Raw genomic sequence first — 16,571 nt, forward strand, 5'->3', positions numbered from 1 at the left:
TTTTTTATCTGTGCTAATGTAGAAGACTGCAGAAATGGCCTCCATCTTCACTCACCCACTAACAAGCTCCAGTATCCATATCCTTTGCAATGAGTCTTTATAGCTGTTCACATCAATGATGCATTCTCTTTCTTACCACTTGAATCCGGTGTGGGCTTTTAACTTGTTTTACATAATAGACAATTAGGAAATCATGTACCAGTTCTGAGACTCCTGATTAGAAGGTGTTGCATGATTCCATTCTCTCTCTCTTGCTCTTCTGCTTTCATTCTGAGACCAAAGCCTGGAGGTCATGCCCAAGGAGATACATTAAGAAGAACCAAGTCAGTCTAGTATTTATTTCTAGCTGGGGCTCCAGACATGTGAAGGAGCCACTGAAGATCAGCAAAGCTGAGTAACTGTTGGGAAGCTGACCACAGCTGCATGGATGGGCTCCAGTGAGCCAAGCTCAGCCAGCAGAATAACCCACCAAATACACAGACTTTTGAATAAAAATAGCTGTCTATCATTGCATCCCATGAAAGTCTTGTGATTGTTAAATATGCAACATTGTTGTGATTATAGATAATTGAGAAGGTAACGATTCTTGTATGAGTCAGGGTTCTCCAGAGAAACAAAACAGTTATCTATTTCTTTTAAATAAATAACTGAATATGTAAATGGATGGATGGATAAAGATAGATAGATAGATAGATAGACAGATGATACATAAACAGAAAGTTAGATGATAGATGGATAAATAGATAATACATAGATGATACATAGATGATAGATAGATGATAGATGATACATAGATGATACATAGGTAGATGATACATAGAAAGTTAGATGATAGATAGATAAATAGATAATACATAGATGATACATAGACAGATGATAGATAGATGATAGATGATACATAGATGATAAATAGATAGATAGATAGATAAAGGGAGATTCAATACGAGAATCAGCTCACATGATTTTGGAGGCTGAGAAATCCCACAGTATGTTTTCTGAAATCTGGAGAAGTAGAAAAGCCAGTGGTGTAATTCAATCTTAGTCCAAAGTTTTGAGAAGCAAGGGAGCTGATAATATAACTGAGGCTGAAGGTCTGACAATAGGGCTGGGGGTACAGGGGGGCATAAGGGTAAGTTCCGTGGTCTGAAGGTCTGAGAATGTGGAGCTCCCATATCCAAGAGCAGGAGACATATGTTCCAGCTCCAGAAGAGAGAGCAAATTCACCTTTCCTTCATCTTTTTATTCTGTTCAGGCCCCCAGAAGATTGGACGATGACTGCCTGCATTGGTGAGCAATCTTACTGTCTATTGACTTAAATTCTAATCTTCTGGAAGCGCTCTCACAGACAGAAATAACGTTTTACCAACTATCTAGGTATGATTTAACACAGTTACACCAACATAAAATTAACCATAACAATTCCTTAAAATTAAGATATTTATGAACATATTAGGCCTTTAATGTCAAGGTCTATGTTATGTACTGCTATTTTTATTCCCCAAAACAAAGATTAGAATGCTGGGTAGAGAACAGAGTATCAAATCACGTGATTGATTATCTGATATGACAATAGAATTGTCTCAAATTTCCCCTAATTTTTTTTGTTTGTTTTTTGTTTTTGAGATGGAGTCTCTCCCTGTGGCCCAGGCTGGAGTGCAATGGCATGATCTCGGCTCACTGCAACCTCCGCCTCCTAGGCCCAAACGATTCTCCTGCCTCAGCCTCCCAAGTAGCAGGGACTACAGGTGCACACTACCACACCCAGCTAATTTTTTTATTTTCAGTAGAGATGGGGTTTCACCATGTTGGCCAGGCTGGCCTCAAACTCCTGACCTCGTGATCCACCCACCTTGGCCTCCCAAAGTGCTGGGATTACAGGTGTGAGCCACGACCCCCAGCCCAAATTTCCCCTACATTTTAAGGATTACAGTTATTTACTCAATATTCTAGGCTTTCTGTTATAGTGGCTAGAATAGGCCTCTGAAAATGTTTACTGGAAGAATAAACTAACGAATGCAGACTTACTTATAGTGCCTGCATTATATTTAATTGTGTGTCAGTGTATTCTCTAATTTCCCAATTGAAATAAATAACCAAAATAATAAGTGTTGATATGTGTTACTGACTGAATTGTGCCCTCTTCCCAAATTCACATGTTCATGTCTTAATCCTCATGTGACAGCATTTATAGATAGGGCTTTTGGGAGGTAATAAAGGTTAAATGAAGTCAAAAGGGTGGGATCCTAATATGAAAGGATTGGTGCCTCATAAGAAGAGGATGAAAGAGAGAGTTTTCTCACTCTCTCGTCCCATGTACAGGCACCAAAGAAAGTCCATATAAGAACAAAGCTAGAAGGAGGCTGTCTGCAAGCCAGGAAGAGAGCCCTCACCAGAAACCAAACCATGTCAGAACTTTGATCTTGGACTTTTCAGCCTCCAAAAAAAAAAACTATGAGAAAATAAATTTATGCTGTTTAAATCACTCAATCTATAGTATTTCATTATGGCAATCTGAGAAGACTAAGGCACTGTCAAGAGAACAAAAACAGAAAATATATATTGGACTGAAAGAATTACACTGATGATAATATGATGTAAAAAGCTGAAGTTTAGCAGCAAGAAATGTATGAATGGGAGCAAAATGTGTCCAGTAAAAAGAAACCAGATTTTTTTTCTATTCTTTTTTTCTTTTAAACTGATTTTGAAAACAGAAATCTTAAAATATAGAGCTTTATTTATGTGTTTTCTCTAAGTGACTGTCTGGACACTGCCTTCAGAATTGTAATGGCCTCATGATCAGATCTTACTTAGGTCTACTTGAGAGAGCAGTATAGACATAGCCTGCTAGAGAGAAAATGAACTGTTTAAAACATGGAAGAATAAACACAAACATTTTGGTCTCTTCATGCTGCTGCCGGCTTTCTCTCTTAACTATGTTTTGAGTCAAACTTATTTATTCTGTTCTTTTTGTCTTCATTTATATTATTCTTTTTTCTTGCGTGTGTATGAGTCCTTCTAATCAGAATTCTGCTCATTGCTCTACAAATAAGTTTTTACAAATAAGACTCACGTTTATGGACACTGAAAACAACTAGGAAGTTGTGTGGCACAAGACAATTATTCGACATATAATGGTCTCAACTCCCTTCTCAAATATTTGTGGTTTATATCTTTAAAAAATTAGTATTCTATGACATAGTCCATACCTATTTAACAGAAAAAAATGAACAAACAAAATTAACTTATGGAGCTGTAAATATAGAAATATTCTTAGATATTGACTTAGAGCCAACATCATTGTGCTCAAACAGCTGTGTGGGCAGAACTAAATACTATGTGAGTTAGAGCCCCAAGAGTAAGTAAGGAGAGAAATAATGCGAAACGTGTTCCTAGGTTAAGGTCATATCAGCCTACTAATACGTAACATTTAGATGGGAGTAATATTATCCTGAAAAACATTAATACCTATTAATTTGATTGAATATAGAGTATTAGAACTAAAAATTATTAATCTTTTGGTGTATATAGTGTATGTTCCCAAAATAGTGCTTGTATTCAATACAAACTTTTTTTGGTTTAGATTTGTTTTATTTTCAAAAATATGGGTTTATATTTAAAGATTTTAATGTAAGTTTTTCCACTTAAAATACACCAGAGACACACTCTCAATCAACACATATTAGATATACATTAATCTATCATCTTTTAATAGTTTTTAGTTTTATAAAAAAGAATTTAATGTATATTCAACCATTGTTTAACTTGAATATCAATATTGTTACCAGATTTTTTTCTATTAATTGTAGGTCATGCCTATATCTCTCAATTGTTGGTATGTTTATATTAGTAAAATATTTCACAGAAGAAAAATCCTGGTTCTGAAAGCACCTATATTTTAAATTTTAATAAATACTACCAGATTACTTTCTAAAATGTTATAATTTACATTCTTGCCAAAAGGGTGTAAGAATATCTACTCCTGTATACCTTTCAGTGCAAAGATGACAAATTATATTTCATTGCAGGTTTAATTTGCTTCCTGATTTCTAGTAATGTTAAATGTCTTATAATATGTTTATTGCCCTTTTGCATTTTCTATGCTGTAAATTATTCATTCATATTATTTACCATTTTTCTATTAAGTTGTTTTACTTATGAATTTATAGGAGCTATTTGCGTTAAGTTAAAAAGGTATTTTGTATTGCTCTGTCATATACATTAATGATATTTTCTTCCTGTGGTCTATCATTTATATTTTGAAATTATGTACAGTGTTTTTTGTTTGTTTGTTTACCACATGAACACTTATATTTTAATTTAATTGTTTATTTTATTTTATTTCTTCATATATATTTGGTTATATGTCCTCCTTACCAGGAAAGGTAATCTAGTGTTCATTAATTTTTACTATGTATTAGTCTATTTTCACACTGCTATAAAGAACTACCTGAGACTGGGTAATTTATAAATAAAAGAGGCTTAATTGACTTACAGTTTTGCATGGCTGGGGAAGCCTCAGCAAACTTACAGTCATGGAGGAAGGCAAAGGAGAAGCAAGTACCTTCTTCGCAAGGTGGCAGGAGAGAAAGAGTGAAGGGGGAACTGCCACACACTTTTAAACCATCAGATCTTTTGAGAACTCACTCACTATCAGGAGAACAGCATGGGGGAAACTGCCCCCCCCCCGCCATGAGCCAATCACCTCCCACCAGATTCCTATCCTGACACCTGAGGATTACAATTTGACATGAGATTTGGGTGGGGACACAGAGCCAAACTGTATCAAATTGTTTATATTTCTGTCACAAACTAGATAGACTAAGAGATATTAACCCTTTTCCATCTCAAGATGGTGGCTAAATCTTTACATTTTCTTGCTTCTTATGTTGCAAATGAGTTTTGCATTACAGTACCAAGAGAAGAAATTGCATAGAAATAAAACCCATTTAGATTTTTCTGTGGACCAGTCTAAAGGAAAATGTCATAGGATAATATTATGTCAATAAGACACCATCTTATTAGACTATTGGAGATTTTCCTCTGAGTGTTGAAGAAGTAAGCTGCAATGTTTTGAGAGTGCCACATGAATAGGACATGGGGGCAGCCTCTAGGAATTGATGGTGACTTCAGTTGACAGTCAGCAAGAAAATAGGGACCTCAGTTATTTAGCCTCAATCAACTGAATTCTGCCAACAACCCAAATGTACTTGGAAGAAAAACCCAAACTGCAGATGAAAATTCAGCTTAGCCAACATTATCTTAGTGAGACCTTGTTCAGAGGACCAGTTTAGCCATACCTGAACCCTTGATGCTGAAAACTGAGATAAGAAATTTGTAAATTTGTGCTAAATTTTTACATAGTAAGATAAACTAATGTATAGATTCTCACTTTTTAAGACCCTAGGAAAGAAGAGGTTCTTTTCCTCCAATTGCTGACTTTAAATTTTCTACCACTTTGAGGAGGATTACCAACAAATTATTTGATTTAGAGAAATAAGGAAAATTAGCATTTCTTAAATCTGAATATTTATAATAATACCTGTTCTCATCCTAAAGACAATAAAATATTTTTCTTTTAAAATTTTTATAGATTTACAATAAAATAATTATAAAGTGCAAAGTATCTGCTTTGTTCGAAATTCTAAATCCATACCTAGCAGCAAATGATTGAGCTTCTCAGTACTCTAATTCCTTTATTGATAAAAGCAAACTGGTTGGAAGAATAACTGACTTACTTGTAATAATGCTTACAACAATGCCAGCTATAATATGAACATTCAATAATTAGCTATAATGGCAATATTCTTATTTTTATTATCTTGTTAAGATATCTAATCTATATTGAACTTGTTTGGAATACTTTACAAAGTATGGATATAACAGATATAAATTGTTGTCTTACAGATGAATAATCTGTGGACCCATTTAAATTTCCTGTGTATTTAAGTTCTTGCTTTAACTGTATTGCTAACTTTTTGATTTATATCTTAATTGGACCTAGTTCTAGACTCTCTTCCACGTATCTATTTGCCTACCTCTCCACAGACACTATGCGGATTTTTATTTTGTTGACTTATACTAACTCTTAATTTCGAGTATAAAAAATTTGAACTTGCTATTTCACTTTTTCTTTTTCTTTTTCTTTTCTTTTTTTTTTTTTTTAAAGACAGAGTCTTGCTCTGTCGCCCAGGCTGGAATGCAGTGGTACGATCTCTGCTCACTGCAACCTCCGCTTCCGCTTCCCAGGCTTAAGTGATTCTCTTGCCTCAGCCTCCCGAGTAGCTGGGATTACAGGAATGCGCCACCATGCCTAGCTAATTTTTGTATTTTTTTTTTTTTTTTGAGACGGAGTCTTGCTCTGTCACCCGGGCTGGAGTGCAGTGGCACGATCTCGGCTCACTGCAAGCTCCGCCTCCCGGGTTCACGCCATTCTCCTGCCTCAGCCTCCCTTTAGTAGAGATGGGGTTTCACCATGTTGGCCAGGCTGGTCATAAACTCCTGACCTCAAGTGATCTAGCTGCCTCAACCTCCCAAAGTGTTGGGATTACAGGCGTGAGCCACCGTGCCTGGCCCACTTTTTCAAGATTTTTTTTGGTCTACATTTATTTTGCACATAAACTTCAGAAACATTTAATCAAGCTTAAAAATAAAATTCTGAGTAATTTGTCACTAAATTTTTCTATTTTCTTTTGGCGTTTTAATGGTAATAAGTCTTCCCTTTCTGGAGAAAGGTTTATCTGCCATTTGTTCAGAACTAAAAAAAAATAAAAAATAAAAAATGAAAAAAAAATAAAGGATATTCCTCTATGGGACTCTGCACCCTACTGCTTTCTCAGTGTCCATGTTTCCGATAAATTTGACTCCACCCCAGGATCTAGGAATGGAGCATGTTACCTGTACTTTACCTTGGCCACAATGACTGCCTAGCGATGGACACTTCACCCAAAGCGGGCCCATCAGATTTCATTGAACTTCAAAACTAAAGATGTGCTTTTTTTCTTGTTGAGTTATTTGATGTCCTTGCAGATTCTGGATATTAGCCTTTTGTTAGATAGATTGTTTGCAAATATTTTCTCTCATTCTGTAGATTGTTTGTTTACTTAGCTGATTATTTCTTTTGCTGTGCAGAAGCTTTTTAGTTTAATTAAGTACATTTGTCTACTTTGTTTTTGTTGTATTTCCTTTTGAGGACTTAGTCATAAATTTTTTGTCTAGACCAATGTCCAGAAGAGTTTTTTTCTAAGTTTTCTTATAGAATGTTTATATTTTCTGTTCTTACGTTTAGGTTTTTACACCATCTGAGTTAATTTTTGAATATAGTGAGAGATAGGGGTCCAGTTTTATGTTTTCTGCATATGGATATCCAATTTTCCCAGCACCATTTACTAAAGAGGGTGTCTTTTCCTCAGTGTATGTTCTTGGTACCTTTGTCAAATATCAGTTGACTGTAGGTATGTGGCTTTATTTCTGGGTTCTCTATTCTGCTCCGTTGATCCATGTGTCTATTACCAACACCATGTTGTTTTGGGTACTATAGCCTTGTAGTATAGTTTGAAGTTAGGTAATGTGATATCTCCAACTGTACTCTTTTTGCTTAGAACTGCTTTGGATATTTGGGTGCTTTTTGGTTCCATATGAATTTTAAGATTGTTGTTTCTAAATCTGTGAAGAATGATGTTGGTAATGCGATAGGAATTGCATTGAATCTATAGATTGTTTCAGGCAGTATGCTCATTTTATTGATATTGATTTTTCAAATCCATAAGCATAGGATGCTTTTCCATGTGTTTGTGAAGTCTATGATTTTTTTCATCAGTGTTTTGTAGTTCTCCTTGTGATCTTTTACCTCCTTGGTTAAATACAGTTATAGGTATTTCTGTAGCTATTGTAAATGGGATTGGATTATTGATTTTGTTCTCAGCTTGATTGTAATTGATATATAGAAATGCTACTGATTTTTATATGTTAATTTTGTATCCTGAATCTTTACTGAAGTAATTTATCATATCTAGGAGTCTTTTGGGAGACTCTTTAGGGCTCTCCATTTATAAGATTATATCAGTAAACAGAAAATTTGACTTTCTCTTTTCCAATTTGGATGCCTTTTATTTCTTTCTCTTGCCCGATTGGTCTGACTAGGACTTCCTGTACTATGTTAAGTGGAAGTGGTAAAAGTAGGCATTCTTGCCTTGTTCCAGTTCTAAGGTGGAATGATGACAACTTTGCCCTATTTAGTACACTCTCAGCTGTGGGTTTGTCGTATATGCCTTTTATTATTCTGAGGTATGTTCCTTCTATAGCTAGTTTGGTAAAAGTATGTATCATGAAGGGATGATGGATTTTATTGAAAGCTTTTTCTTTATCTACTGATATAATCCTATGGTTTTTGCTTTTAATTCTGTGTAGGTGGTGAATCACATTTATTGATTTGCATATGTTGAATCAACCTTGCTTCCCTGGAATAAAATCCACTGGATTGTGGCATGTTATCTCTTTGATGCGCTGTTAAACTTGTTTTGCTAGTTTTTGTGGAAGATTTTTACATCTATGTTCATCAGGGATATTCATTTGTAGTTTTCTTATTTTGCTGTGTCCTTGCCTAGCTTTAATACCAGGGTGATGCTGTCTTTGTAGAATGAGTTAGGGAGGATTCTTCCTCCTGGGTTTTGGAGAACAATTTACGTGGGATTGGTGTCAGTTCTTTCTTGTACATCTGGTAGAATTCAGCTATGAATACAACTATTCCTTGGCTTTTTTGTGTTGGAAGATTTTGTTTATTACTGATGCAATTTCACTAATAGCTATTTGTCTGTTCAGGTTTTCAATTTCTTCCTAGTTTAAACTTGAGAATTTGTATGTTTCCATAAATTTTTTCCATATCTTCTAAGTTTTCCAGTTTCTGCACATAGAGATAGTCAGTTTCTGATGATCTTTTGTATTTCTGTTGTATCTTTTGTAATGACACTTTTAAAAAGTGGCAAAGGATACGAACAGACATTTTTCAAAAAGAGACATACAAGTTTTCAAAAACGTATGGATAAAATGCTCCACACCACTAATTATCAGATAAATGAAAATTAAAACCACAATGAGATACCATCTTTCACCAGTAAAAATGGCTATTATTAAAAGGAAAAAAAAAACAGATGTTGATGAGGATGTGGAAAAAGAAATGCTTATATACTGCTGGTGGGAATGTAAATTAGTACAGCCTAAACAGTATGAAAGTTTCTCAAATAACTAAAAATTGAACTACAGTTTGATTCAGCAATTTCAATACTGGGTATTTATGCAAAAGAAAATAATTCATTTCATCAAAAGACACTTTCACTCATATGTTTATTGCAGCACTATTCATAATAGCAAAGTCATGGAATGAATGTATTTATCATAATTGGATAGAAAATGTGGTTTAAAGAGAAAAACAACCCCACTAAAAGGTGGGCAAAGGAAATAAATTGACACTTTTCAAAAGGAGACGTACATACAGCCAACAAGCAGATAAAAAAAATCTCAACATCACTGATCATTAGAGAAATGTAAATCAAAACTGCAATGAGATACCATCTCACGCCAGTCAGAATGGCTATTATAAAAGTCAAAAAATAACAGATACTGGCAAAGTTACATAGAAAAAGGAACATTTATATTCTGTTGGTGGGAGTGTAAATTAGTTCAACTGTTGTGGAAAGAAGGATGGCGATTCCTCAAATATTAAAAGGAGAACTACCATCCGACTCAGCAATCCCATTACCAGGTATATATCCAGAGGAATGTAAATCATTTTACCATAAAGACACATGCACATGAATGTTCATTTCAGCACTTTTCACAGTAGCAAAGACAAAGAATCAATCTAAATGCCCATCAATGACAGATTGGATAAAGAAAATGTCATACATATACAACACAGAATACTATGCAGTTATAAAAAAGAATGAGATCATGTCTTTTGTGAGAACATGGATAAAACTGGACACTATTATGCTTAGTAAAGTAATGCAGGAACAGGAAACCAAATACCACACATTCACACTTAGTACTGAAAGCTAAATGATGAGAACTCATGAACACAAGGAAAACAATGGACACTGGGGTCTCATTGAGGGTGGAGGGTGGGAGGAAGGAGAAAAGCAGAAAAAATAACTACTGGGTAATGGGCTTAATAGCTGGGTAACAAAATAATCTTCACCACAAACCCCCATGGCACAAGTTTACCTATATAACAAACCTTCAACAGTACCCTTGAACCTAAAATAAAAAAGATATATACATATATATCTCATGTGAGAGAGATATATATATATAATATATATATCTCATGTGACATATCTTATATATATCTTATATATATATCTCATATCTTATATATATCTTATATATATGATATATATAAGATATATATATCTTATATATGATATATATTATGTAATATATAATATATACATAATATATAATATATATTATATATAATATGTTATATATTATATATAATATATAATATATAATATATAATATATTAAATATATATAATATAGATAATATATATTATATATGTATATATTATATATTATATATTTTAAATATATTTAATATATATTATATATGTATATATTATATATTATATATATTAAATATATATAATATATATTATATATGTATATATTATATATTATATATAATATATAATATATATACATAATATATACATAATATATTATATATAGTATATACATAATATACGTATATAATATATATTATATATATTATATATGTATATAGTATATATTATATATATTATATATGTTATATATGTATATATTATATATTATATATGTATATAATATGTATTATATATGAGATATATACATATATATGTATCTTATATATATACAAAATATATATGTATCTCACATGAGATATATATATCTTATCTGAGATATATATCTCATATATATGATATATAAGATATATATCTCATATATATGATATATAAGATATATATCTCATATATATGATATATAAGATACATATATCTTATATATGTATAATATAACATAATATCTAATATATCTAATATATATATGTGTATATATATATATATATATGTATCTCACAGAATACTACTCAGCCATGAAAAAGAATGAAATCATGACTTTTGTACCAACATAGGTGAAACTGGAGGCCATTATCCTTAGTGAAATGACTCAGAAACAGAGAGTCAAAAACTGTATGTTCTTACTCACATGTGGGAGCTGAACAATGAGTAAACACAAACATGCAGAGTAGAGTAACAGGCATTGGAGTTTCCCAGATATGAGTGTGGAATGAGAGTAAGGGATGAAATACTACCAGTTGGGTACAATGTACACTATTTAGGTGATGAGTACATTAAAAGCCCAGACTGTACCACTGTGCAAGGTATCTATGTAGTACCATCGTCCTTATGAACCTAAATCCATTAAAAAAAAAAAAAACCTGAGGATGTGTAATGCTGGAGGTGATGTTACCACTGTCACTCTGTAGAATTATTTTACAGCCAAGTTTGGAAAACCTAATGAGCTCAACTGGATGTTGTTTATAACTAAAAATAGATTGGCACAATGGATGGATGCTTTACAATTGCTTTTTTTTGCTTTTAAGTGGTAATATAATAGGATTTTTTTACTCTGCTCTCTCCATCATACCTCAAAATTCAAGCTTTGATTCTTGTTCAGTTCTATCCCACTAATTACATGGGATTCTACCTCTTCCTGAAGCCTTTGGCTGTCTAGATATTAGAAGGAGAGAGCCCACATTGGGTTATAAAAATGAGACAGAGAAGAATTTAAGTTTGGCATAGATGGGCTTCATTTTTGATGGACAGGAAATAGGCAAGTTAGGATTGCAAGGGCATCTTCTTTGGGCATATATGGGGAGCTGGCAAATGTTCTGGGAACAAGTAATGGGAAATGCTCAGTCAAGTGAAGCCTGGTGCATTTGTGAATGCTCTGCTCCTAGGGTGAATGATCACATAAACCATTTTTTTTTTCTGGGAAAAGTCCTCTGGGTTTATTCACATGATAGCTGGCCCTCTCCCCTCTTAGGCTAATTTCGTATTAACAGTTATGTTTCCCAGTTGAGAACTACTGATATTAATGTAGTTCACTTCTTCTTCTCAGTACTCTGTTCCTCTCTCATATTTATTTCCATGCTTTTCTCATGAAATATCTGTTCTTTATTTTTTCTTCTGGTAAAATAGACTATTACTATGTTTTGCTTTGTTTTCTATATACCTGGATAGCTTATTAAAACAATGGCTTCAAATCATTAATGAGTAAAAAAATAGTTTCTCTTTCCTTGAATATATAAATAATGTTTGCAGTCCACTAAGAGGTGAGAAGACAATGCCATCTTTTTAGTTTAAATATAAATGGGAATAATAGTACTATAGTTTGCTTTACATAAAACAAAAATCCCTGAATACTCTTTGCCAGCTAAATTAGCAATAGCCAACTAAAAGCAAAATGAAATGAAGCCACAAATTTGTCTTTATAAAAATCTTACATAATTCTCAAAAAAGAGAGAATTTAGCAAGAAAGGTGCAAGAAATATGTAAAGAGGGGTATATATTTTTATCCATTATCAAAAAGTAGGATCTTATGGTCCAGAAACTCAGCTATCTAGAAGCTACTGCTCTTATTATTATAAACTCAGTAAAGCAGGAAAAGATATGAAATTAAACAGATGTCCGTAGATTATACAAAGCTAGTCAGAATTGAGCATATACTGCTGCTATCTTAAAATCTCTTGTTTGATGCTTCATATCGTCTTTGCTGCTATGTTGCTTTTTCTCCAAATAGTGATATCCATCCCATGTTCTTTCCATGTTCTGAAAATTTTTTAGGGATCTCTGATGCTGAACATTTCCATTGTATAGGTATGCTTTTGTTTTTCAATTTATTATCTTGATCTCATTTCACTTTTGTGAATTTTACTTCTCTAGGTGATGGAGAATTTTCACTCCTACTATCTTCATGGGGTCAAATTACAACACAGATTTTTTAATCTGATTCTTAGGCCCTTAAACTCTCAAATTTTTCAAAAACTATCTACCTTTGACCAAAAGCAAATAAGAACAGTTTTAGTTTCATGATAACCTTACTGTTCAGATATTATATTTATATGTGTGTGCATGCTGTCTTCCCAGTACACATATTTTAGGAAAATAAAATCAACCCTCAATATGAAATTATCACAAAGTGATCTTGGCAATTTATGTGATAAATGGAGTAAGAACTTTTGCCTGTTTACATTCCATCTAAATTTTGACAGCTAACAATTAAATCTGTCTATTGACATCTGAGTTCTTCTACGACTTGGATGTTTTAATGTCGATTTCACTGATGTACCTCAGGTGCCTAGAACAGACCTGGTGCACAACAGTTAATCTAAGAATATAAGAGACTCTTTTTCTGAATGAGCAAACAAATGACAAATGATAATTGACTGTACAAGCAGACTTCCAAATCTGAACATTTTCTCATGAAAATAATTGCTAGCATTTAATGAGTATAGGTCATGATCTAACTTTAACAATTTCCATTGTTTACATAGATTTTTGTTATTTAAAAAACTCATCATCTTTATAAATGAAAAAAAGATTTAAAAGTTCCCTAAGTTGCTCATAGTCCAACAGCTAATAAAGAGAAAATCCAAAACTAAAAAATCACTTTTTTCCAAAGACAATTTTCCCTTCAAGGCTATACTGCCTGTTCAAAGTTAATCACTACTTCCTAGGTAACATTTGCATACTAATTGTTTGATACCAAGTAGATTATTTAGTTCTCACAATCACACTACAATGTAGGCATTTTTTCCTCTTTTTATTGTTGAGGAAAGTATTACATTTGAATTACACAGCCTTGAAGTCTTTGAATCTTGTCTTCCTTTTGTGGCCTCATGGAAGCTCAGGCAATTGTGTGTTGAGGTTCTTCAGACATGACCTCTGAAAAGAAATGTGAATACTCACTTGTCACATTTCTTCATAAGATAAGAAACTTCCATTCCACCATAAGAAGAGTATTCAAAAATCCTCCAGCTCTTTTAACCTCTGTACATTGTTTCACATACCTATCCATTTGAGTGGCAACTTGGCTAATTGATGAACCTAGGAGAAGGAAATGGTGATACAGAGCTTAAGGTTTTCTGGGTCCCTGCTCTTTGGAGTGACCTCTTCTTTGGATGAATGCAGTCTTTCTATAATGGGGCTCATGGCCCATAATGCATAGAGGTCTGCAACCTTTGCTATGCCAGTGGCTTGGTAAACAATCTGGATACCAAACAACAATAAAGTGTTATGAAACCCTGTTGTGTCTAGATAATCTAAGACAAATTTTCCAGTTTGAATTTTATCAAATATATAACTGATATTTTGATCTCCATCTGTGTGATGCTTCTGAATGTTAGTTTAGAAATTTGGGGAGAAAAAGTGAGCTCCCTACATTTATCAAAATTATCATGTCCTTTTTTTAATCAAGGAATTCTAAACTTAGAAGGTCTTCATTAATTCTTTGAATATTGTGGATCTCCATTATATACAGATAAATGGATTAAATATTTGTGAGAGCACTTTATAAGTAGTAGTGGCTGTAAAGTATTTATTTACTATTTTACATTGGGATGAGTGAAGACAGGCACTTACCAATAATAACATGCTGTCTTCATTTGTCCATTAAAAAGAAAGAAAATTCAATTTAAAATGAAATATAGGAAAAATAGATGCTGGACAATGTTAAAACGTGCTGAAGAAAGAATATGGAAGTCTCCGTTGTAGACCACAACACTTACAATAATATTATCTTGTCAATAAAGTTATAATATGAGTAAATAAGTTACTGTTATATCTATACAATGATATTAATTTAAATCTGGAAATTACAACATAAGTAATTTAGTTAGAGCCGTTAGTTTTAAAAGAAATAGCTTTGAACGATAGCAATTAACTACTGTCCAAGATTGCATTGCCGCTCGTATCCAGAAGCAAGAATAGAACCAAGGGCTTCCTATATGAGAATCTGTATATATCACACCTGTTGTAGGACCTAGATCTCAATGCTAGATCTCAATCAATGTTAGTATGCTCTTTTCCCCTATTTGATTCTAGGATTAGGATACCCATACTCCAGTTGCTTCTATTTCTCATAAAAATCAGAGACTTAACACTTTTCACGTGGGCAAAGAGAGTGTATCAAGTGAGTAATTTTCAAAGAAAGGGGGAATGAACAAAAAAGTTTTTATTGTCAAAATTGATACTGTCTCAAAGGGGAAAGTAAGTATGCAAACTTGTATTTTGCCCAATCATAAAGCTACCTCATTTAGAAGAATAATTGTGTTCCTAAAATTGTTGAGTTTGGCCACATTTGTAAAATAAAATTGTATTCGAAATAGATGGAAATGGCTCAATGTGGATTAAAAATAGGTGCCAGATTTTATCGAATTGAAAACCTCTCAAAATATGAACATTAAGGCCAGGCGTTGTGGCTCACGCCTGTAATCCCAGCACTTTGGGAGGCCGAGGCGGGCGGATCATGACGTCAGATCGAGACCGAGACCATCCTGGCTAACATGTGAAACCCTGTCTCTACTAAAAATACAAAAAAATTAGCTGGGCGTGGTGGCGGGCGCCTGTAGTCCCAGCTACTTGGGAGGCTGAGGCAGGAGAATGGCGTGAACCCGGGAAGCGGAGCTTGCAGTGAGCGAGATGGCACCAATGCACTCCAGCCTAGGAGACAGTGGGACTCCGTCTCAAAAAAAAATATATATATGTATATATATATATATACACACACATATATGTATATATATGTGTATATATATATACACATATATGTATATATGTGTGTATATATATATACACACACATATATGTATATATATGTGTATATATATATACACACATATATGTATATATATGTGTATATATATGTATATATATGTGTATATATATGTATATATATGTGTATATATATGCATATATATATATGTGTATATATATATGCATATATATATGTATATATATATGAACACTAAGTCCATTATCCACCTGCTCTCAATTGAAAAAATATATATTTTTTCTTAACAGGAAAATTTTGAGCAACTGTTGTTAATTTCTATAGAATTTAGACTAGTGTCTACTGGCATAGGATTGGGTGTGTTATTGAACATGGGTGTGAGTGTGAAGGACAGTGTTAGAATCTGAGTGGGAAGGTTCCTGTGTAAGAATAAGAGCACATGTGAGCATAAATGTGAGACTGTGTGTGAGTATATGCAACCAGACCTTCATGAAATTAGGGTAAAATTTTCTATATATTTAGGGATGATGTTCAATACATCACTGGTGAACAGAATCTGTGCTCTTCCTTTATTGCACATGCCTTTTGGCTAAATGTTGCCTCTGTTTATACAGTTTGAGAAACCCCTCTTGTATTTCTGACACTTTTCCTTTCTCCCCCTGAGAAGTCCTCCTTTAGATTATGATCTTGATAAGAAACCACTGGTTTGTCTTACTTTTTTTTTTCTTTTTTCTTTCT

At 33.3% G+C, this 16,571-nt stretch overlaps 1 long non-coding RNA gene across 2 annotated transcripts in view; it reads left to right on the forward strand.

Moving 5' to 3' along the window:
• The window catches only part of LOC105370249 (uncharacterized), a 52,794-nt gene that overhangs the window by 1,111 nt on the left and 35,112 nt on the right, over positions 1–16,571 (forward strand). For both annotated transcript variants that reach the window (XR_942046.3, XR_942047.2), the window contains exon 2: positions 1,253–1,287. This is a non-coding gene — a long non-coding RNA (uncharacterized LOC105370249). The remainder of the gene's footprint in view (positions 1–1,252; positions 1,288–16,571) is intronic.

This window comes from Homo sapiens, chromosome 13 (assembly GCF_000001405.40).
Source record: "Homo sapiens chromosome 13, GRCh38.p14 Primary Assembly".
NCBI classification, from domain to species: domain Eukaryota; kingdom Metazoa; phylum Chordata; class Mammalia; order Primates; family Hominidae; genus Homo; species Homo sapiens.